General features: G+C 36.3%; 3 protein-coding genes and 1 long non-coding RNA gene across 5 annotated transcripts in view, besides 2 other annotated features; all 4 read left to right on the top strand.

The window, feature by feature from the left end:
* Nucleotides 1-22,844, top strand: part of PRH1-TAS2R14 (PRH1-TAS2R14 readthrough) — a 234,202-nt gene extending 211,358 nt beyond the window's left edge. Inside the window, exon 5 of the mRNA NM_001316893.2 lies at nucleotides 21,677-22,844. Within this exon, the coding sequence (NP_001303822.1) occupies nucleotides 21,677-22,000 (324 nt within the window). The 3' untranslated portion in view covers nucleotides 22,001-22,844. The remainder of the gene's footprint in view (nucleotides 1-21,676) is intronic.
* Nucleotides 1-23,631, top strand: part of PRH1-PRR4 (PRH1-PRR4 readthrough) — a 325,777-nt gene that overhangs the window by 211,372 nt on the left and 90,774 nt on the right. The window lies entirely within an intron of this gene.
* The window catches only part of PRH1 (proline rich protein HaeIII subfamily 1), a 290,647-nt gene that overhangs the window by 211,358 nt on the left and 55,658 nt on the right, over nucleotides 1-23,631 (top strand). The window lies entirely within an intron of this gene.
* Nucleotides 17,145-18,344: an enhancer, noted in NCBI's record as "MED14-independent group 3 enhancer chr12:11094509-11095708 (GRCh37/hg19 assembly coordinates)". NCBI's record gives its function as "activates an origin of replication core promoter dependent on BRD2, BRD4, P300/CBP and CDK7 cofactors, and independent of MED14, by STARR-seq in HCT116 cells {active_cell/tissue: HCT116}" and the evidence as "EXISTENCE:reporter gene assay evidence [ECO:0000049][PMID:35650434]".
* Nucleotides 18,137-18,337: a silencer, noted in NCBI's record as "peak1572 fragment used in MPRA reporter construct". NCBI's record gives its function as "represses an SCP1 promoter by STARR-seq MPRAs in K562 erythroleukemia cells {active_cell/tissue: K562}" and the evidence as "EXISTENCE:reporter gene assay evidence [ECO:0000049][PMID:32103011]".
* TAS2R14 (taste 2 receptor member 14) lies at nucleotides 20,991-22,844 on the top strand. The gene has a single exon (NM_023922.2). The coding sequence runs from the start codon at nucleotides 21,047-21,049 to the stop codon at nucleotides 21,998-22,000; it is 954 nt and encodes a 317-aa protein (NP_076411.1). The 5' UTR covers nucleotides 20,991-21,046; the 3' UTR covers nucleotides 22,001-22,844.

The following is a 23,631-nucleotide window of genomic DNA, read 5'->3' as shown; positions in this document are numbered from 1 at the left end:
CAGTCCTGAGAACTGGCTGAGGGTCTTTGATTTGTCATATCAGTGCCTGACCTCAGGACTCAGCTTTTTCAACTCTGTTTTCCTCTTGATTTATAGTTATTTAGCAAAGTATGAAGCCTCTTCAACTATTGGCCTATCAGCCCAATCCAATGAGGCTGTTGCTGTCACCACTTCATTAAATCTGACATTTGTTAAGATCACCAGTGAGTGCGTGTTGCCAATGGTTAGTCTTCATGTTGCATGCTCTATTAGCAACATTGGACATGGTTTACTGGGGGGATGCTGCCCTCTTCTGATTTTATTGTTGTTCACTGGGCACCTCTTCTCAATCTCCTTTGCTAGTTCTTTCTCTTGCCTCTAAACTGAAAATGTCACACTGCCGAAGGTCTCAATTCTTCAATCTTTAATCAATCAGACTTGTTTTGTTGGTGATCTCATGCAGTCTCCTTACTGATAATGTAGCCAAATGGTTCAATAGAGAGGAATAAGGCTGATTATTCATCTATATATTCATATATATCATTTTAATATAGCATTGCAGATATTGGCAGATTGATATGTGGGGAATTTTAATTATATGATGATCTATATATAATTAGATAATGATATAAGTGAAGAAATACATAGATAGAATTATGGTTTACTAACCCATTTTTGATTTCTTGCGTTTTGTACAATGTCTCAGTATCTGTTAGTATCTTATTTCTTAAGTTTTTTTCTCTATGATCAATTACTTATGAGTTAATTTTTGTGTACAGTATAAAATAAGGGTCTAAATTTACGTTTTTTTCCTTCTCTTTTAACTCCCACTTCTTAGGTAAGTTCATCTACTCATGGCCTTACTTATTTTCTGTGTGCTGATGATGCCAACATTTAATCTTTCAGCTGAGATCTCAACGCTGGTCTCCGAATCCTTTCTCTAATAGACTATTTGACATCTTCATTTGGATGCCTAACAGGAACTTGAACTAACATGTCCAAATCAAAATACTGCTCTTCCCCCAATTGTCAGATTTGTTTCTTCTACAGTCTTTCCCTCTTCTGCTAATGACCACTTCAGACTTTCAGATGCTTAGACTAAAAAAAAATGGAGTCAATATTTTCTCTCTTTCAGAACCTATCTTTAAGGCATCAGCAAATTTTGTTGACTCTACCCTCAAAAACCTACAGAATCCAATCCCTTGTCATCACTCTGCCATACTAGTCTAAACTGCTGCATATCTTGCCAGGATATTTGCCATGAGTTTCTAATTATTCTTTCTAGTTCTGCACATCCTTTTATCCTGATGTATTCTCAAGGTGGCAGCCAGAGAGAACCTGTAAAAACGCAAATTTGATCATGCCATTCTTCTCCTCCAGATTTTTCAGTGGCTTTCATCTAATTCAGAGTAAAGGCCAAATCCTTACGAAGTCTTATAATCATTTGAATGATCTGATTTTGTCTGCCTGTGTGCCCTAAAACACCTGGCTCATCCCATGCTAACAACACTGGCCTTTGTGTCACTTCTTGAATATGCCAAGCATTGCCTCAGGGACTTCATACTTGTGTCCCTTCTTCTTGGATTGCTCTTTCTCAGATATCAACACTGAACGTTATCACTCCTCAGATATCATTGAATCATTGAGGCCTCCAATACTACCTTATTTAAAGATAAATCTCATTTCACTTTGCAGTTTTTTTTTCTTTTTTTAGCTTTTATTTTAGATTCTGGGGTACATGTGCAGGTTTGTTATGTAACTAAATTGCATGTCTCAGGCACTTTGTGTACAGATTATTTTGTCACTCGGGTGGGAAGCAGAGTACCTGATAGGTATCTCTTTTATCTTCACTCTCCTCCTTCTCTCTGTTCACATAGACCGTGGTGTCTGTCGTTCCCTTCTTTGTGTCCATCTGTACTCAATGTTTAGCACCCACTTATAAGTGAGAACATGTGGTATTTGTTTTCTGTTTCCATGTTTATTGGCTTAGGATAATGGCCTCCAGCTCCACCCATATTGCTACATCATCTTGTTTTTTTCTAATGACTGCATAGTATTCCATGGTGTGTATGTACCATATTTTCTTTATCCAGTCTACTATTTATGGGCAGTTAGGTTTATTCCATGTCTTTGCTATTATGAATAGTTCTGTCATGAATATTTTCATGCATGTGTCTTTATGGTAGAACAATTTATATTTCTCTGGATATATATCCAATAATGGAATTGCTGGTTTGAATGGTAATTCTGTGTTAAGTTCTTTGGAAAATTGCCATGCTGATTTCCACAATGGCTGGACTAATTTACCTCCCCACCAGCAGTGTGAAAGCATTCCCTTTCACCACAATCTTGCCAGAATCTGTTGTTTTTTGGGGGTTTTAGTAATAGCTATTCTGACTGGTATGAGATAGTATCTCATTGTGGTTTTGAATCACATTTCTTTAATGATTAGTTATATTGAGCATTTTTTCATATGTTTGTTGGCTGAGTGTATGTCTTCACTTGAAAATTGTTCATGTCCTTTATCAAATTTTTAATGGTGGTATTTGTTTTTTGCTTGTAAATGTAAATTCCTTATATGTTCCGGATATTACGCCTTTGTCATTTGCATAGTTTACGAAATATTTTCTCCCATTCTGCAGGTTGTCTGTTTACTCTGTTGATAGTTTCTTTTCTTGTGCAGAAGCTCTTCAGTTTAATGAGGTTCCACTTTTCAATTTTTGTTTCTGTTGCAATTGATTTTGGTGTCTTTGCCATGAAATCTTTGCCAGGTCCTATGCAGGAATGGTGTTTACTAGGTTATTTTTCCGTTTTTTAAAAAAATAGTTTTAGGTTTTACATTTTATTATTTAACCCAGCTTGCATTGAGTTTTGTGTATGTATAAGAAAGGTGTCCAGTTTCCATCTTCTGCACATGGCTATCCAGTTATCCCAGCACCATTTATAGAGCAGGGAGTCTCTCCTCATGGCTTGTTTTTGTTAACTTTGTTGAAGATTAGATGGTTGTAGGTGGGTGGCATTATTTCTCGGGTCTCTATTCTGTTCCCTTGGTCTACGTGCCTGTTTTTGTACCACTACCATGCTGTTTTAGTCTCTGTATCCTTGTAGTATGGTTCAGTCAGGTAATGTTATACTTCCTGCTTTGTTCTTTTTGTTTGGTATTGCCTTGGCTATTTGGGCTTTTTTTTTTTCATTCCCAGTGAATTTTAAAATAGTTTGTTTCTAATTTTGTGAAGAATATCAATGATAATTTGACAGGAATAGCATTGAATCTATAAATTGGTTTGGGCAGTATGGGCATTTAAACAATATTGATTCTTCCCATCCATGCACCTGGAACGTTTTCCCGTTTGTCCATGTCTTATTGGATTTAATTGAACAGTCTCTTGTAATACTCTTTGTAGAGATATTTCACCTCCCTGGTCAGCTGTATTCCTATGTATTTTATTTTTTGGGACTATTGTGAAAGGGATTGCCTTCTTGATTTGTCTTTGCTTGAATTTTGTTGCTATAGGAATGCTACTAATTTTTGTACATTGATTTTGTATCCTGGGAATTTGCTGAGTTTGTTTATCAGACCAAGGAGATTTTGGCCAGAAACTGTGGGGATTTCTAGGTATAAAGTCACATTATCTGCGAACAGGGATAATTTGACTTCTTCTCTTCTATTGGGATGCCTTTTATTTATTTCTCTTCCTGATTGCTTTGACCAGGACTTCCAGTACTGTTGAATAAGAGTGGTGAGAGAGGACACCCTTGTCTTGTTCCTGTTTTCAAGGGGTAATGCTTCCAGTTTTGCCCATTTAGTATGATATTGGCTGTGGGTTTGTCATGGGTGGCTCTTATTATTGTGAAGTATATATCTTCAATGTCTAGTTTGTTGAGAGTTTTTAATATGAAGAGACATTGAATTTTATTGAAAGCCTTTTCTGCATCTATTGAGATAGTAATGTGGTTTTTGTTAGTTTCACTTATGTGATGAATCACATATATTGATTTACATGTGTTTAACCAAACTTGTATCCCAGTGATAAAGCCTGCTTGATTATGGTGGATTAGCTTTTTGATGTGCTGCTGGATTCAACTTGCTGGCATTTTGTGGAGTGTTTTTTTTAAATCTATGTTTATTGAGGTTGTTTTCTTTTATTGTTGTGTCTCTGCCTGGTTTTGGTATCAGGGTGATATTAGCCTTGTAGAATGAGTTAGCGTGGAGTTTCTTTTCCTCAGTTTTTTAGAGTAGGTTTAGTGTGAATAGTACCAGTTCTTTATACACATGGTGGAATTCTGCTGAGAATCTATCAGGTCCTAGGCTTTTTTTGTTTGTTTGTCTGGTAGGCTTTTTATTACTCTTTCAATTTGGAACTTGTTATTGGTTTGCTCAGGGATTCAATTTCTTACTGATTCAGTCTTGAAAGGTTGTACATATCCAGCAGTTTATCCATTTCTTCTAGGTTTTCTAGCTTGTGGGCATAGAGGTGTTGACAGTAGTTTGGGAGGATTGTTTGTATTTCAGTGGGGTCAGTGGTAATATCCACTTGGTCATTTTTGATTGGGTTTATTTGGATCTTCTCTCTTTTTTTTCTTTATTAGTCTGGTTAGGGGTCTATCATATTAATTTTTTAAAAACATCAAATCCTGGATTCACTGACCTTTTGTATGTTTTTTTTAATCACAATTTCCTTCAGTTCAGCTCTGATTTTGGTTATTTATTGTCTTTTGCTAGCTTTGGCATTGGTTTGCTCTTGTTTGTTTAGTTTCTCTTGTGAAGTTATGTTATTAATTTGAGATCATTCTAACTTTTTGATGTGAGTGTTTATTGCTACGAACTTTCCTCTTAACACTGCCTTATCCATATCCCAGAGATTCTGGTATGTTGTATCTTTGTTCTCATTATGTTCAAAAAATTTCTTGATTTCTGCCTTAATTTCAATATGTACCCAAAAGTCATTCAGGAGAGGGTTGTTTAATTTCTATGTAATTATATGGTTTTAAGGTATTTTCTTAGTATTTATTTATATTTTTATTGTGCTGTGGTCCAAGAATGTGGTTGGTATGGTTTTCTTTTTTTCATATTTGCTAGGAATTGTTTTATGTTAGGTTGTGTGGCTGATTTTAGATTATATGCCATGTGCAGATGAGAAGAATGTGTATTCTGTTGTTTTGGGGTGAACTGTTTTGTGGATGTCTATTAGGTTCATTTGGTTAAGTGTCTATTTCAGGTCCTGAATAACTTTGTTAGTTTTCTGCCTTGATGTTCTGTCTAGTGCTGTTGGTGGGGTGTTGAAATCTCTTGCTATTATTGTGTGATTTTCTAAATCTTTTAATAGGTCTCTGAGAACTTGCTTTCTGAATCTGGGTGTTCTTTTGTCAGGTGCATATACATTTAGAATAGTAATGTCTTCCTGGTGAATTGAGCCTTTTTCAATTATGCAATGCCCTTCTGTTTCTTCTTGATCTTTGCTGGTTAAAGACAGTTTTGTATGAAAGTAGATTATCAAGGTCAGGTGCCATGGCTCAGACTTGTAATACCAGCACTTCAGGAGGCTGAGGTGGGTGGATCACTTGACCCCAGGAGTTTGAGACCAGCCTGAGCAACATGGCAAAATCCTGTCTCTATCAAGAAAAAAACAAATACAAAAATTAGCCAGTCATGGTGGTGCACACATGTGGTCCCAGGTACTTGCAAGGCTGAGTTGGGAGGATTTCTTGAGACCAGGAGGTAGAGGTTGTGGTAGGCTGAGATTGCGCCACTGCACTATGGCCTGGGCAACAGAGTGAGACCCTGACTCAAAACAAACAAACAAACAAAAAGAAGTTAGAATAGCAACCCTGCTTCTATTTTCCATTTGCTTGGTAGATTTTTCTCCATCTTTTAAATTTGAGCTTATGGGTATCACTGCATGTAAGTGAGTCTCTTGAAGACACTATACCATTGCGTCTTGCTTCTTTATCCAAATTGCCTCTATGTGCCTTTTAGTTGGGGTGTTTAACCTGTTTACATTCGAGGTTAGTATTGATATGTGGGAATTTGATCCTTTCATTATGTTGTTAGCTGCTTATCATGCAGACTGGTTTCTGTGGTTACTTTATAGTATACTGGTCTATGGCCTTAAGTGTGATTTTGTTATGGCTGATAATGATCTTTCTTTTCTATGATTAGCAATCCATTCAGGACCTCTTGTGAGGTGGGTCTGGTGGTAATCAAATCCCTTAGCATTTGTTTGTCTGAAAAAGATCCTATTTCTCCTTCACTTATGAAGTTTAGTTTGGCTGGATATGAAATTCTTGGTCGGACATTCTTTTTCAAAAAATTTCTGAATATGAGCCCCCATCTCTTCCTGGTTGTAGAGTTTCTGCTAACAGGTCCACTGTTAGCTCAATGCTGTTCCCTTTGTAGGTGACCTGCCCTTTCTCTCTAGATGCCTATGGCACTTTTTCTTTCATTTTCGCCTTGGAGAATCTGATGACTATGTGTCTTGGGTATATTCTTCTTGTGTAGTATTTCGTAGGGGTTCTCTGCATTTCCTGAATTTGAATGCTGGCCTCTCTAACAAGGTTGAGGAAATTTTTATGGACTATATCCTGAAATAGGTTTTCCAAGTTGTTTGCCTTCTATTCCTGTATTTCATGGATGCCAATGAGTCATATATTTAGTCTGTTAACAAAATATTATATTTCTTGGAGGTTTTGTGCATTCTTCTTCATTATTTTTCTTTATTTTTGCCTGACTGAGTAATTTCAGAGGACTACTCTTGAGCTCTGAGATTCTTTCCCCAGCTTTGTTGATTCTGTTGTTAACACTTGCATTAGTATTCCAAAATTCGTGAAGTGATGTTTTCAGCTCTATCAGATCAGTTGGATTTTTTCTTAAAATGACCATTTTGTTTGTGTCTTCTGTATCATTTTATGGCGTTCCTCAGAATCTTTGGATTGTGTTTTGACTTTCTCCTGAATTTCATTGATCTTTGTTCCTATCCATGGTCTGAATCATATTTCTGCCTTTTCAGCATGGGAGGGAACTAGCGTGGTCATTTGGAGGTAAGAAGATACTCTGGCTTTTTGAGTTGCCACAGTTATTGTGCTGATTCTTTCTCATCTCTGTGGGCTGATATTCTTCAGTCTTCGAAGTTGCCATTCTTTGGATTTTTTTTTTTCTGTTTTTATCTTCTTTGACACACTTTGGGGTTTCACTGTGGATTCCATCAAATGAGTTTGTTTCTGGTAGATTTTAGGGGGGAAAAGATTTCTAACTCTAAGTCTGGGGTCTAGTTTTGGACACCGGACTTTGTTCTCTGGCACCTCAACATTGGGAATCTGCTGTGCTGGAAGGGACATTGTGTTCCTGAATTGCTGGCCACAACACTCTGAAGGATGGTACCAGCCAAAGCTCTTCATTGAATAGTGACAGTGTAACGCAAGCTTGTTAACACATGCCAGCAGCAGCAGTGTGGCAGGGTATAGGCTCTTGGACCGGGATGGGGTGCAGGCTGGCCCAAGGCTGCCAGCTTCCATGCGGGCATTGGCAGTAGCCTAAATTCATCTTTATGCATGTGGATATTTAATTTTCCCAGAATCATTTGTTGAGAAAAATGATTAATTCCTATTGAATTGCAATTGTATGATTTTAAAAATCAGCTGACCATGAATGTCATTACTAATTTCTGGACAGTCAATTGTGTTTCATTGTTCTTTTTGTCTCTCATAGTGCAATTACCACAGTGTCTTGATTTAGTCCAGTAAACTTGCAGTAAACTTTGAAATGAGAAACTAATCCTCCAACTTTGTATTTAAAAAAAAATTATTTTATTGGCCTAATCACTTGGCATTTCCAGGCATATTTTTGGAGTAGTTTTACATTTTCTGCAGAAAAAGCTTTCTGTGACGTGATGAGGGTTGCATTATAAATTGCTCTTCACACGTAAAGACTCGCCTTGTGCTGGATTTCATTTCAGGTGGTCCTTATTGCTTGCAAGCTCTTTGATGAATACAAACATAATTTTGGCCCCTTTATTTATCTTATGCTAGTTGTTGCAGAAGGACATCTTGCTTTCTTGAACCTATTACATCTATTCAAAAGTGGAAGTTTTCACAGGTAACCTCTCTGTATCAAGTAACACAAGATCAAATAAAACACGAGCAATCCTTGTTTCGTGCCTGAACCAGACAGGTGATATTGAAATCAGTTATACAAATGTGTACTAACTCTTCATAAAGACTATCCAAAGAGGGTATTATTATCATCTGCATTTAATAGATAGCTATCCTAAGGCTGTTGTAAAATAGATTCTCGGATCATACCTATATGAAGCAGAGAACTGGATTTCCTTTCCTGGCAGTCTGACTCCAAGATCCTTTCTTAGAAACAATTATACTGTAAAAACTGAGAATGAATAAAACCCAACATTGGAGACTGATTTTAACATCTGTTAATCTTAAACCATTAAATAATAAAAATAAGTTAAAATGAAAGAAAAATATCCAAATATTCATATACAGAGAAGTCAATATTCTTCAATCGAAAACACATTTTTTAAGTGCTCAAGGAATATTTACAAAAATGCTGAATATTTAATTAAATAATTCATATTTGTATATCAAATTGACTTAAGAGAATGACTTCCTTAAAAGCCTAAGGATGCGAGATCAGTTCGATAAATATTGAAAATGGGCTGAAAATTATGAGTAGGAAAATAGGGCCATTTCAACCTGCATGTGACATCCCTAAAATTTATTTTCCATTTTGGAAACTGTAGGACAAAAACTATTCCCATTCATGTGGGGTATATGTATATGTGTATGGGTGTATATGTCTTCCCAAGAAAATCTTGAATGCTTTTGATAGGAAAAATTTAGATTCTGTTTACATGTATCTGGTATTGAGAAAAATAAATTAACAGCAGTCATGATACAAGTTATGATCAAGCTTCCTTCAGAAATTTAGACATCCAATATATGATCTATGTATTGGGTTTAAAAATTTCCATAGCAAGTGATGTTGCTGAACACAAATTATGACTACACGAGGAAAATATTGCAAAACAGTGAAAGAGAATATGTCTTCATTTGCATGCTTGCAAATGAGAAATCAGCTTTTACTTCCAAATTATTATGAAAAAAGCCTATAGCAAGAAGAGACGTTGTTTAAATAGTAGGTAATTTGAGCCGTTTTGAAAATTACATTTTTTCCATAAAGGCAGCATTGAACTCATCCATTAGTATGCCCTAGCGCTTTCCTATTTGACATTGGTCCCAGAATTGAATTTAGAAGAACCAAGAATTTTACTGCACATTCAGAAATCAGGATCGCAGAGAGTTTAAGATCAAGACCTTAAAGGGGATCATGACCAGTGATACTGGGCTTGCCCTTTTTTAATGTGTGTTTGTTCAGACATGGGAAGTTTACTACCAATCTTTTTTTTTTCCAAACTAGTAATGATAGAATTTGTATTTTCCTATGATGCCTATATTAAATGTATAATCATTTTAATATTTTAACACTTTTTTAATGAGTTCTTTCAAGGGTTGTTAAACAATCTAAACAATCTAATTTTCCCTTACAATATGCTGATAGCTAATCATATTTTCTCAAAGTCATTTGACATAATGTTTGATTGAAGAAAATATCTCTGGTATGACTCTACTTGCTGATAACAAAAGAGAATTTGAAACTTCAAGAAAAAAGATTAGAAAAGTTAACAACATAATACAAATAAGTATATTAAATATATAATTTATTCTTAAGAAATGTATATGAAATCAGAGTCGTAGAATGAAAAAAGAGTAATATGTAATTTTTAAACTACAGTTACATTTCAAATGTGAATTTAAATTGTAAAATGTTAAGTTTAATAATATTTTATATAAATATAAAAGTGCAAAAATTATTCTTTGATGTTTCTAATTTTGAAAAGGGCATGAGGCACTGACAATTTTCAGACACTTCTCCTAGGATTATCAATTGAAAGAATTCCTTTGGCTGAGTATGACATAATCTGATTATGATGGAGGATCACCTCATAAGACCCAATATTTGTACTCCTACTGGAATACATATGAAAAAAGTGTGTATCACTGTGTTTTAATAGCTCAAGTTGAGAAGTCTCCCAAATGTCCATCAGTGATAAAATGATAAATAAATTATGGCATACTTATGCGGTAGAGTACTATACAGCAATTAAAAAGCAAACCAGAGTGACATGTTTACAAAGAATTTATATAACAAAGAAAATGAACAAATTTGAGCTAAATAGCTAATACAGATGTGAGAGGAATTATCAATATTGAAAAAATATTCAATATAATTCAATTTATATGAAGTTTGCAAAAATATATTTTAATACATTGTAATTTATTACATTGGTGGCAAAACTCTAAAACGAAACATATAAGTGATTATCATAACAACTGGGATATGTGGGAGGAAGAAAACTAAAGAGAAACAATATCAACAAGAAGGTATATATGGGGAGTGTCTGGATTTTTGGCAAATTTTATTTTTTGGCCAAGATGTAGTAAACATGGGAGATAAACTTATAATTTTTTCCCTAACTGTGTATTTAAGTTTTGTTACTTTTCATAACTATGTTATGTTCGACAATAGTAAAAATATTTAAAAATCAGAAAATAAAGTAAAATAATAAAAAATTAAGCCAAAACTACATATGTGCATAGATACAATGGTATTATAATTATCATGTTTTTCTTAACAAAGAAGCATAGTGCATTATGGTAGTAAGAAATACAAGTTAAAATTATAAGCTTTTCTTTAAATTAATTTTTAAAAGAAGGTATAATCTAGAAATGTAAATTTAAATTCTTAATGCTAATCTTGGACAAAGCCTCCAGGAGCAACTGAAAACCTCTCTGCCACTGGCCTCTGCAGTAGAACTGCCCTTGCCACTCTTGGACTAATGAAGGAGCAAAGATCCTAAGTGCCTTATCCATACCTCCAACAAGATGCAGTCAACCCAAGGAGAGAAACCCAGTTAGACTTCCATGGGTCCCACAAATGCACAAACCCTCCATCTTGGGCTGACTGCACTGAGTGTTTGCTGACCTGCATCTCTCTGGGATGGAACCCCCAGAGGTTGACTCTTGGCCACAACCACTACTAAGATCTCTTCAGTGCTACCTCTAAACTGGGAAAGGAATATAAACACTGAGATTCCACCAGGGCTGCAGTTGGCAGCTCAGGAATGCCAAGTTTTGAACTGTAGCCAGGACTGAAGGGCACAAGGAACCTACATCTTCAGAACACTGAGAGGGAACATGGCTGCAACTGTGAGGAAACATAGGGGAAACATATAATTGAGCAACAGTCTATCAACTGACCAATAAGCATAAGTGTCACCTGCTGGATTACACCCCAAAACTTCAACACCAAAAATGCCTCACTAACATAACCCCCTTTGAAGCCAGAGACACAAAGTCAGCTTCAAATAAATACCCTACACAAAGGCTCTCCCTGGTGAAAACATCCAGAAAGGAAGTCTATTTACTGTGCCTAATATACACTGCAGTTAAAGAAACACCCACATACAGAGATGAGAAAGAACAAATGCAATAACTCAAATGGCCAGAATATCATATTTCCTCCAAAAGACTACAGCAGTTTTCCAACAAGAGTTCTTAACAAGGTTGAACTGGCTAGAATGACAGAATACAGTATATGGCAGAAACAAAGATTATTGAGATTTGGGAGGAAGACAAAACCCAATCCAAGGAAAATAAGAATCACAATAATGTGATACAGGAGCTGAAGGATGAAATAACCAGTATTAGAAAGAATTTAATGGGTCTGACAGAGCTGAATAACGCAATACAAGAATCTCACAATGCAATCACAAGGATTATCAGCAGAATATACTAGTCTGAGGGAAGAGTTTCAGAACTTGAAGACTGGTTTTCTGAAATAATACAGTCAGACAAAAATAAAGAAAAAGCATAAAAAGAAATGAACAAAACCCCTGAGAAGTATGGGATTATAAAAAGAGGTTAAATCTGTAAATCACTGGAATCCCTGAAAGGGAGAGCCAGAAAGCAAACAACTTGGAAAGTATATTTCAGAATATCATTCATGAACTCTTTCCCAACCTTGCTAGAGAGGCCAACAGACATATTCAGGAAATACAGAGAACTCATGCAAGATTCTACACAAGATCATCTCCAAGATATATAATCATCAGATTTCCCAAGATTGAAATAAAAGAAAGAATGTTAAAGGCAGCCAGAGAGAAAGGGCAGGTCACGTACAAAGGGATTTCTATCACGGTAACAGCAGATCTGTCAGCTGAGTTCTTACAAATTAGAAGAGATTGGAGGCCTATATTCAACATTCTTAAAGAAAAAAATCTTCAGCCAAGAATTTCATATCCAACCAAATTAAGCTTTTTAAGTGAAGGAGAAGGAAGATTTTTTTCAGGTAAGCAAATGTTGAGGGAATTTATTATCACCAGAACTGCCTTACAAGAGATCTTGAAAGCGGCACTTAGTATAGAAAAGAACACCACTACCAGCTAATAAAAAAAACCCTGAAACACAGAGACCAGTGTCACTGTAAAGCAACAACACAAACAAGACAACATAATAACAAGCTAACAGCACAATGACAGGATCAAATCCACACATATCAATATTAATCTTGAATGTAAATGGGCTAAATGACACAATTAAATGGCACAGAATGGCAAGCAGGATAAAAAAGCAAGACCCAATGGTATTCTGTCTTCAAGAGACCCGTCTCAAATTTAATGACACTCATAGGCTCAAAATAAATAAATGGAGAAAAATCTACCAAGCAAATGGAAAACAGAAAAAAGGGGGGTTGCAATCCTAATTTCAGACAAAACAAGTTTCAAACAAATGAAAGTTTTTTAAAAAAAAGACAAGCAAGGATATAACATAATGGTAAAGTATTCAATTTAACAAGAAGACCTAACAATCCCAAATAGATATGCACCCAATACAGGAATGTCTGGATTCATGAGGCAAGTTCTTAGAGACCTACAAATAGACATACACTCCCACCCAATAATAGTGAGTGACATCAACACTCCACTGACAGTATTAGATCATACAGGCAGAAAATTAATGAAGATATTTAGGACCTAAACTTAGCATTGGACCAAATGGATCTGGTAGACCTTTACAGAAGTGTCCATCCCCAAATAAGAGAATATACATTCTTTTCATAGCCACATGGCACATACTCTATAATCAACCACATAATTGGATATAAAACAATCCTCAACAAATGTAAAATAACCAAAATCATACCAAACACACTCTCAGGCCACAGTGCAATAAAAATAAAAGTCAACACAATGAAAATTATTAAAGCATACAATTACATGGAAATTAAACATCATGCTCCTGGATGACTTTTAGATAAATTTAAGTCTGAAATCAAGAAGTTCTATAAAAATAATAAGAACAAAGATACAACAAACCAGAATCTCTGAGACACAACTAAGGCAGTAGTAAGAGGGAAATTCATAGCACTAAATGCCCACATCAAAAAGTTTGTAAGGCCTCAAATTAACAATCTAAATTCAAAATTGAAAGAATTAGAGAAAAAAGAACAAATCAACCCCGAAGCTAGCAGAAGATAAGGAATAACACAAATCAGAGCTGAACTGAAGGAAATTAAGACACAAAAAACCATTCAAAAGATCAATGAATTTGGGAGTTGGAATTAAAAATAATTATAAAATAGGCCACTAGGTAGACTAATTAAGAAGAAAAGAGAGAAGATCCAAATAAACACAATTAGAAATGATTTAAAGGAATGTTATTACTTACCCTACAGAAATGGAAACAGCCATCAGAACCACTGTAAACACCTCTGTGCAGACAAACTAGAAAACCTAGAAGAGATAGATAAATTCCTGGACACATACACCCTCCCTGCTGCTGGAAGTCAGAGACCCCAAACGGAGGGACCAGCTGAAGCCATGGCAGAAGAACATAAATTGTGAAGATTTCATGGACATTTATTAGTTCCCCAAATTAATACTTTTATAATTTCTTATGCCTGTCTTTACTGCAATCTCTGAACATAAATTGTGAAGATTTCATGGACACTTATCACTTCCCCAATCAATACCTTTGTGATTTCCTATGCCTGTCTTTACGTTAATCTCTTAATCCCATCATCTTCATAAGCTGAGGAGGATGTATGTTGCCTCAGGACCCTGTGATGATTGCATTAACTGCACAAATTGTAGAGCCTGTGTGTTTGAACAATATGAAATCTGGGCACCTTGAAAAAAGAACAGGATAACAGCAATGTTTAGGGAAAAAGGGAGATAACCTTAACCTCTGACTGCTGGTTAGCTAGGTGGAACAGAGCCATATTTCTCTTCTTTCAAAAGCAAATGGAGAAATATCACTGAATTCTTTTTCTCAGCAAGGAACATCCCTGAGAAAGAGAATGTGTCCCTGAGGGGAGGCCTCTGAAATGGCCGCTTTGGGGACGGCTGTCTTTTACAGTCTTAGCTGAGGGATGAAATAAGCTCTGGTCTCCCGTAGCACTCCCAGGCTTATTAGGATGAGGAAATTCCTGCCTAATAAATTTTGGTCAAACCGGTTGTCTGCTCTCAAACCCTGTCTCCTGATAAGATGTTATCCATGACAATTCATGCCCGAAACTTCATTAGCAATTTTAATTTTGCCCCGGTCTTGTGGTCCTGTGATCTCGCCCTGCCTCCATTTGCCTTTTGATATTTTATTACCTAGTGAAGCATGTGATCTCTGTGACCCACACCCTATTTGTACACTCCCTCCCCTTTTGAAAATCACTAATAAGAACTTGCTGGTTTTATGGCTTAGGGGGCATCACTGAACCTGCCAACATGTGATGTCTCCCCCAGACACCAGCTTTAAAATTTCTCTCTTTTGTACTCTGTCTTTTTATTTCTCAGACTGGCTGACACTTAGGGAAAATAGAAAAGAACCTAAGTGAAATATCGGGGGTGAATTTCACCCGATACTCCCAAGACTGAACCAGGAAGAAATTTGTTCCCTGCACAGACCAATAATGAACTCCAAAATTGAATCAGTAATAAATAGCCTATGAACCCAAAAAAGCCCAAGACCTGCTGGATTCACAGCCAAATTCTACCAGGTGTACAAAGAAGAGCTGTTACCATTTTTACAGAAACTAATCCAAAAAGTTTAGGAGGACTTCTCTTTAATTCATTGTATGAGGCCAGCATCATCTTGATACCAAAACCTGGCAGAGACACAACAGCAACAGAAAATTACAGACCAAAATCCTTGATGGACATCGATGCAAAAATCCTCAACAAAACCTTTGCAAACTGAATCCACAAGCCCATCAAAAAGCTAATCCACCATGATCAAATAGGCCTCATCCTGGCATGCAAAGTTAGTTCAACATACAAAAATCAATAAATATGATTCATCACATAAACAGAACTAAAGACAAAAACCACATGACTGTCTCAATAAATGCAGAAAAGGCTTTTGATAAAAATTCAACATCCCTTCATGTTAAACTATTTCAAAAAATTAGATATTGAAGGAACATACTAAAAATAATAAGAGCCATCTATGATAAACCCACACCCAACATCATACTGAATGGGCAAAAGCTGGAAGCATTCCTCTTGAAAACCAGCAACAGGAAACGATTCCCTCTGTCACCATTTCTTTTCAACATAGTATTGGAAGTCCTGGCCAGAGCAATCAGGTAAGAGAAAGAAATAAAGGACGCCCAAAAAACCATAGAGTATGTCAAACTGTTTGCAGTTGACATATTCTCTATCTACAAAACCCCATAGTCTTGGCTCAAAAGCTCCTTCATCTGATAAACAACTTCAGAAAAGTTGCAGGATACAAAATCAATGTACAAAAATCACTTGTATTCCTATAAACCAACAACAATCAAATCAGGAAGGCAATCCCATTCACAATTGCCACACACACAAAAAATACCTAGGAATACAGCAAACGAGGGAAGTGAAAAATTTACACAATAAGAATTATAAAAAAACTTCCCAAAAAGATCAGAGAAGACACAAACAAATGGGAAAACATCCCATGTTCATGGATACAAAGAATCAATTATTAAAATGGCTGTACTGCCCAAAGGAATGTACAGATTCAATGTTATTCCTATCAAACTACCAATGAGATTCTTCACAGAACTGGAAAAATTTATTTTACAATTTATATGGAACCAAAAAAGAGCCCTAATAGTTAAAGTAATACTAAGTGAAAACAACAGAGCTAACAAAGCTAGAGGAATCACATTACCCAACTTCAAACTATGTTACAGAGCTACAGTGACCAATATAGCATGGTACTGGCATAAAAACAGGTACATACACCAATGGAACAGAATAGAGATCCCAGAAATAAGGCCACACATTTATGACTATCTAATCTTTGACAAAACTGACAAAAACAAGCTATGGGAACAAGACTTCGTATTTAATAAATAGCACTGGGATAACTGGCTAGCTATCTGCAGAAGATCAAATCTGAAATTCTTCCCTGTACCATATAAAAAAATCAAGTCAAAATGGATTAAAGACCTAAATGTAAAAAGAAACCTGTAAAAGCCCTGGAAGACAACCTAGGCAATACCATCCTGGACCTAGGAATGAGCAAAGATTTCATGGCAAAGACATCAAAAGCAATCAAACAAAAACAAAAATTGACAAATGGGATCCTATTAAACTTAAGAGCCCCTGCACAAGAAAAGAAAATATCAACAGAGTAAATCGACAACCTACAGAATGAAAGAAAATATTTGCAAACAATGCATCTGACAAAGGCCTTATATCCAACATCTATAAGGAACTTGAATTTACAAGAGAAAAACAACCACATTAAAAAGTGGGCAAAAGACCTGAACAGACACTTCTCAAAAGAAGACGTACATGTGACCAAGAAGCATGTGAATAAAAACTTAACATCACTGATCATTAGAGAAATCCAAATCAAAACCACAATGAGGTACCATCTCACACCAGTCAGAATGGCTATTACTAAAATGTGAAAAACAATCAGCTCCATCATGGTGGATGGGAGGCAGGACTAAATTGCAGTTCTGACTTGGAAAGACAGAGGAGCTTGTGAAGGCTTGCATCATGAATTTTAGCTCCAGAAAGACTGCAGAAAAAAATCAGGAAATGCGAGAGGACCCACAGGTTTTCTGAAGAAAGTGGGCTGCTCCTGCAGAACCTGGGAGACACCCCAAATACTGTGAAGGCCCAAATTGCAGAAGTGGGAAAGGGAGATCCTCTGCCCCCAAACACAACCTCCCCTGGGAAAACTGAAGGTCTATTTTATGGGAAAAGATTACAACCTTACCTGGAGCTGAGTTAATTTAGAGAGCTGAGCAAAATACAGGAATAGAGGGAGCAGTAGAAAAGGCCCTGTGAGCTCGCTGGGTCCTCAAGCAGGCTATTCCTGTGTGGCATCACAAAGATCCTTTGGGAGGGTGACAAGAGGGAAATGCCACAGAGAGAAGGAAATCACCAGCTGAATTTTGGAACAATTTGAAGTCATCAAGAAGCCTCCTGGCCAGAACTGAGGGAAGAGTTCAAATCCATTGTGCAGACTAAATAGGCAGGGGAAGAACTAAAGTCCTACTTTCTTTCACAGCTAGGAGGTGGGTAGCCTGTGGCAAGTTCTCAGCCCTGCTTGCCGACTGTCTGGAAACAGACAGGGTGCCATTGGGGAGGCATGGTGGGAGTGAGACCAGCCCTTTGGATTGCATGGGAGCTGGGTCAGGCCTGTGACTGCCAGCGTTCTCTCACTTCCACGACAACCTGCATGACTCAGCAGAGGCAGCTTCCTTCTAGGTGCATAACTCCATTAACCTGGAAACCTCAGCCCCATCCCCCCTAGCAGCCACAGCAGGAGAGAGTGAGTCTGAGCTCAGACATGCTTAGCTCTGCCCCACCTGATGGTACTTCCCTACCCACCCTGGTATTCTGAGCACAAAGGGCATAAACTCTTGAGAGTTCTAGTGACTTACCCACTGCCGGTGCCTCTTCATACTATCACAGCTGATGCTCTCTAGAAAGAACTACCTCCTGGTAGGAGGCCAACCACACAAAAATAGAGCATTAAACTCCCAAAGCTAAGAACCCTCACAGAGTCCATTTCACCCCCCTGCCACCTCCACCAGAACAGGTGCTGGTATCCACAGTTGAGAGACCAACAGATGGTTTACATCACAGGACTCTGTGCAGACAACCCCAATATCAGCCTGGAGCCTGGTGGACTTTCTTGGTGACTAGATCCAGAAGAGAGATAACAATTACTACAGCTCAGCTGTCAGGAAGCCACATCCATAGGAAAAAAGGGAGAATACTACATCAAAGAAACACCCTCTGGAACAAAAAAGTCTAAACAACAGCCTTCAGCCCTAGATCTTTTCTCTGATAGAGCCTACCCAAATGAGGAGGAGCCAGAAAACCAACTCTGGTAATATGACAAAACAAGGCTCTTTAACACTCCCCAAACATCACACTAGCTCACCAGCAATGGATCCAAACCAAGAAGAAATCCCTGATTTACCTGAAAAAAAATTCAGGAGGTTAGTTATTAAGCTAATCAGAAAGGCACCAGAGAAAAGTGAAGCCCAATGCAAGGAAATCCAAAAATATGATACAAGAAGTGAAGGGAGAAATATTCAAATAAATTTTAATAATAAATAATAAATTTTAATAATAAATAAATAATAAATTTTAATAATAAATAAATTCAAACATTTGATACAGTTAGTACATAAATTTTGATGCATAAAAAAGTTAAAATGAAACACACTAATCTGTTCTGTATACACCTAAATGTAACTTTGACACTGAAATGGATTAAGACACTGCTCTTCTCTGAGGAACTGAGTTTTTATTCTAATTTCTGGATGTAGTGTGTGGGAATTATTATTTTTGCTGCTCTTTTTCTGAAAAAGATTGCCTTTCCCTAAGAGCTGTTGTTCCAATGAAAACCTAGTGTTTTCAACCCAGCATGAATGATGCAAGTGCTGAGGTCCTTTGGGCGAGACCCTCTGGGGTTATTGTAGCTCTCACTGGAGACGTGAGCTCTGCTCTCTTTTCAAAGTATCCATGAAGTCTCAACAGAACCCACCACACAACCCCCCACCCACCATGGTAGTTTGTCTTTCTCTTTGTCTTCTTTCCCAACCTCATCTTTATTGCCTGGATATAGCGAGGCCAGGGTAACCTTCTTGTCTCTATGTGGATAGTACGTTTGTACTTCTAGCCTTGGGATTTTTCCTTAATATTTGTCCATGCTAGCTGAGTTTGCCTTTTCAATAGCTCTCTTGACTAAATATACGGTAATTTCCAAGATATTTTGGTTTTATTTTATTTTATTTTTGCTTAGCTTTGCTTCAGGGGACTGAAGGTGAGGGATCAGTTCTTCATAGTGGAACACCTTACATCTTTCTCTGCCATCTTTGACGTTTATGAGGCATATTTTTCTACTTTGTTTGGTAGCTGTTGCTGAATTTGTTTCATTGGTGCTTTGCTCACTTTACTTACTTTTTTAGCTATTGAAGAAGAATGACTGTATCATGCTGCTGATTTCCCCGTCTTGGCTAGACAGTATGTCATCCTTTATCTACATTGGTCCCTGTAGTGAGGATCATGGAGTAGATGTTGCTGGGAGAGTGAGTATATGTGAAAAAAATGTGAAGGTATTTGGTGCTGATGAAGCAATATGCCCTACTGGGCAGGGGAGAGGCACAGAATAAGAATTCTTGCCATGTGGATGAACTCATTCAAACACAATGACTGCTTTATGAGACAATAGATAGATTTCTACCTCTTCTCACATGTACAGAGAAAATATTTCCAAAGTCTCCGGAATATTTACATGTATTACTATTTAATATAAACTTGCAAGTCTTTTTAAATGTGTTTAAAACTATCACAGTACTAAACATGAACTAGATGCATAATAAATGCTGAAAGTAAAAAGCCTGAATTATTTAAGTGAAAAGAGAAAAAGATTTAGATCCCAAATAAATGTATGCGTTTGTGTGTTTGTGTGTGTGCGCGCATGTTTGCTGGGCATGTACTTGTAAAAAGTAAAATAATAGAAAAGTATTATTCTTGGTACCCAGCATTCTAGGAATAATGTCTTCCACAAGATTATTAGAAAACTCTGCTACTTTGTAGGAGGAGCTTTGGATAACTATGAATAAGTCCCTTTACAGACTTAACTTTAAAAAACCATCTGATTTTTCTTTATTTTCTTTATTTTTATTGTAAATTGACATATTTTACTTGCATACATTTATGAGGTATCAGGTGTTGTTATGATTTATGACTACTATGTGGAATAATTAAATGAAACTAATTAACGTATTCAAATGATAATAAATATAACAGATAACAGGTAACAAATATTTTTTTATGGTGAGAATATTTGAAAGTTACTTTTTCAGCAATTTTGTAATGTACAATACACTATTATTAACCATATTCACAATGCTGTTCAATAGATCTCAGAAAAGCAGAACAAAACTTATTCCTCTTGTCTAACTGAGGTTCTGTAAACTTTCACCATCATCTCCCCATTTTTCTCCACCCAAACACGGAAGTATGTAAAAATTCTCAGTGCTTACAAAGTTTCATATACCAATTTTTGTAATGATACTTCCCCAGAACTCAATTTGACAGACTGAAGTATGTAGATAAGACAAAAAAAAAAAAAAAAAACACACAAACCAATGAAAATAAATATGTCCTTATTTGCATGTTTACAAATGAGAATTCAGTGTTTCCTTTCTCACCAGCTACAAAAGACTTCAGCCTACTGTGTATAAGGCACACAGCATCTGGATGAAGCTCAGCTGAGCTGTCTGGGGAAATACAGAGATTTTTATGAAGAGAGCTTTAAACCCAGCCATTAGCAAATCTGGATGGTTGCTGGTTTAACATTCCCTTTTTAAAGGGAATATATTATTGAATTTTCAAGAATCAGATATACATAGCATTTTAGATGAATGCATTAAGAAGTCTTCAGCAGTGATATTAGACATTGGGGCATGCTCTTACAGGCAATGGGTGGTGTCATAAAGAGCATATTTACATTCGTTTTAATTGTGGAATTTATAATTGGAAATTTAGGAAATAGTTTCATAGCACTGGTGAACTGTATTGACTGGGTCAAGGGAAGAAAGATCTCTTCGGTTGATCGGATCCTCACTGCTTTGGCAATCTCTCGAATTAGCCTGGTTTGGTTAATATTCGGAAGCTGGTGTGTGTCTGTGTTTTTCCCAGCTTTATTTGCCACTGAAAAAATGTTCAGAATGCTTACTAATATCTGGACAGTGATCAATCATTTTAGTGTCTGGTTAGCTACAGGCCTCGGTACTTTTTATTTTCTCAAGATAGCCAATTTTTCTAACTCTATTTTTCTCTACCTAAAGTGGAGGGTTAAAAAGGTGGTTTTGGTGCTGCTTCTTGTGACTTCGGTCTTCTTGTTTTTAAATATTGCACTGATAAACATCCATATAAATGCCAGTATCAATGGATACAGAAGAAACAAGACTTGCAGTTCTGATTCAAGTAACTTTACACGATTTTCCAGTCTTATTGTATTAACCAGCACTGTGTTCATTTTCATACCCTTTACTTTGTCCCTGGCAATGTTTCTTCTCCTCATCTTCTCCATGTGGAAACATCGCAAGAAGATGCAGCACACTGTCAAAATATCCGGAGACGCCAGCACCAAAGCCCACAGAGGAGTTAAAAGTGTGATCACTTTCTTCCTACTCTATGCCATTTTCTCTCTGTCTTTTTTCATATCAGTTTGGACCTCTGAAAGGTTGGAGGAAAATCTAATTATTCTTTCCCAGGTGATGGGAATGGCTTATCCTTCATGTCACTCATGTGTTCTGATTCTTGGAAACAAGAAGCTGAGACAGGCCTCTCTGTCAGTGCTACTGTGGCTGAGGTACATGTTCAAAGATGGGGAGCCCTCAGGTCACAAAGAATTTAGAGAATCATCTTGAATATATTAGAAAAAAAATAGCTCCTAAGAAATTCTTGTATGTTATATAAATTTATACTTCCTTAAGATTCTTTCATTGTGTATAACTTTGTGAATTTTACAAAGATATGCTTGGAATCAACACCATCCAAACATATCACAAATTAGGATATATGAAAGTATGTATATTACCATACAGAGAAGAATGCGAATACTATAAAGAGTTCTTATACAAACAGATAATATAGATTTTGTATCAATCATTCACCTTTTTTGAGATTTTTAAATGAGAAAACCTATAATGTATAAAATACATGTGTGTATGTATGTATGTGACACAGTTACTAAAAATAGGCTTCTTAAACTTACATCTCAATCTGGTAGATAAAGTACATAAAAGAATATGGAATTTTAGTACCTATATTAAGTGTTTTTAATTTTTGTATAATATTTAGTACCTGATTAGCGTGTATGCAAAAAAGTAATTTGCTTCGTTTGTTGAATTAGAAGCCAGCTGCCTTACTAAACTACCACATTTGCTTTGCTCATTCTCTTGGCTTTGCAGATAGAAAATTATATCATCTGCATATAGTGACTTATAATGATTATTTTACTTCTCCATTTTACTACTTGTAATTCTTTTTTGGTATCAGTTGTATAATGAAATGGTTTGAACATTCAAAGTGTTAAGTAATCCTGATCGTAACTGCTGTCTTTGCAAATGGAGTGTTTTCTAGTGTTTTAACAATAAACGTAATACTGACTCTAGCTTTGAGATAAATTCTTTTAAAAATATTCTTCAGGGAGAATATTTGTTTCCTATCTTCCTGTGTATAGTATTGTAATAAAATCTCTGTTAAAAACTATCAAATTTTTTGCTGTTTATTAAGATGATCATATTTTCCCTCTCCTCTGACCAATTAAAATAATGATACTTGTTAATGGTGGTACATAAAACAATGACATGTCTTCTAGTCTATGCATTCTAGATTTAATAAAATACAATATACATATTCATACACACGCACGCACACACACACACAGAGAGAGAGAGAGAGAGAGAGAGAGAGAAATAAAATTGCAACCTTAGAGGCAAATGGGAATTCAGAAAGCAGCTGCAAGGTAGTGAGAGGTAATCTCCAAAAGGGGAAGATAATCCCAGTTTGAATAACATGAAAAATTGTGTCAAAGAACTGTATGCCAGAAGACAGTTGATTCATTTTTTCAAGGGCTAAGGAATGTAACCGTAATCCTGAATTCTTTGCTAAAAATTTGTTCTGGGGTTTGAATTAAATAATAACATTCCCCTCTCCCCTTAAAAAAAGATGAGGGCTGTTTACTAAACATACGTCCTTACTGAAAATGCTAATAACCAATCTGCTTCAGAAAGACTGTTATGGACTGACTTGTTTGTCTCCAAAATCCATGTGTTGAAGCCCACACTCTCAATGTGACTGTATTTGGATATAAGGCTTTTAAGTAGGTAGTTAAGGTTAAATTAGGCCATACAGTGAGGCCGTAGTACAATAGGACTGGTGTCTTTATAAAAAGAGGAAGAAACAGGCATCTGTGGGCACAGAGAAAACACAATGATGTATGATTCCATTTATATACCATTCTAGAATATGGAAAGTAATCTATAGTGACTGAAAG

The sequence above is a fragment of the Homo sapiens genome, chromosome 12 (genome assembly GCF_000001405.40).
Source record: "Homo sapiens chromosome 12, GRCh38.p14 Primary Assembly".
Taxonomy (NCBI): domain Eukaryota; kingdom Metazoa; phylum Chordata; class Mammalia; order Primates; family Hominidae; genus Homo; species Homo sapiens.
Note: the sequence above shows the minus strand (reverse complement) of the source record. Positions and strands in the feature narration are given on the sequence as shown.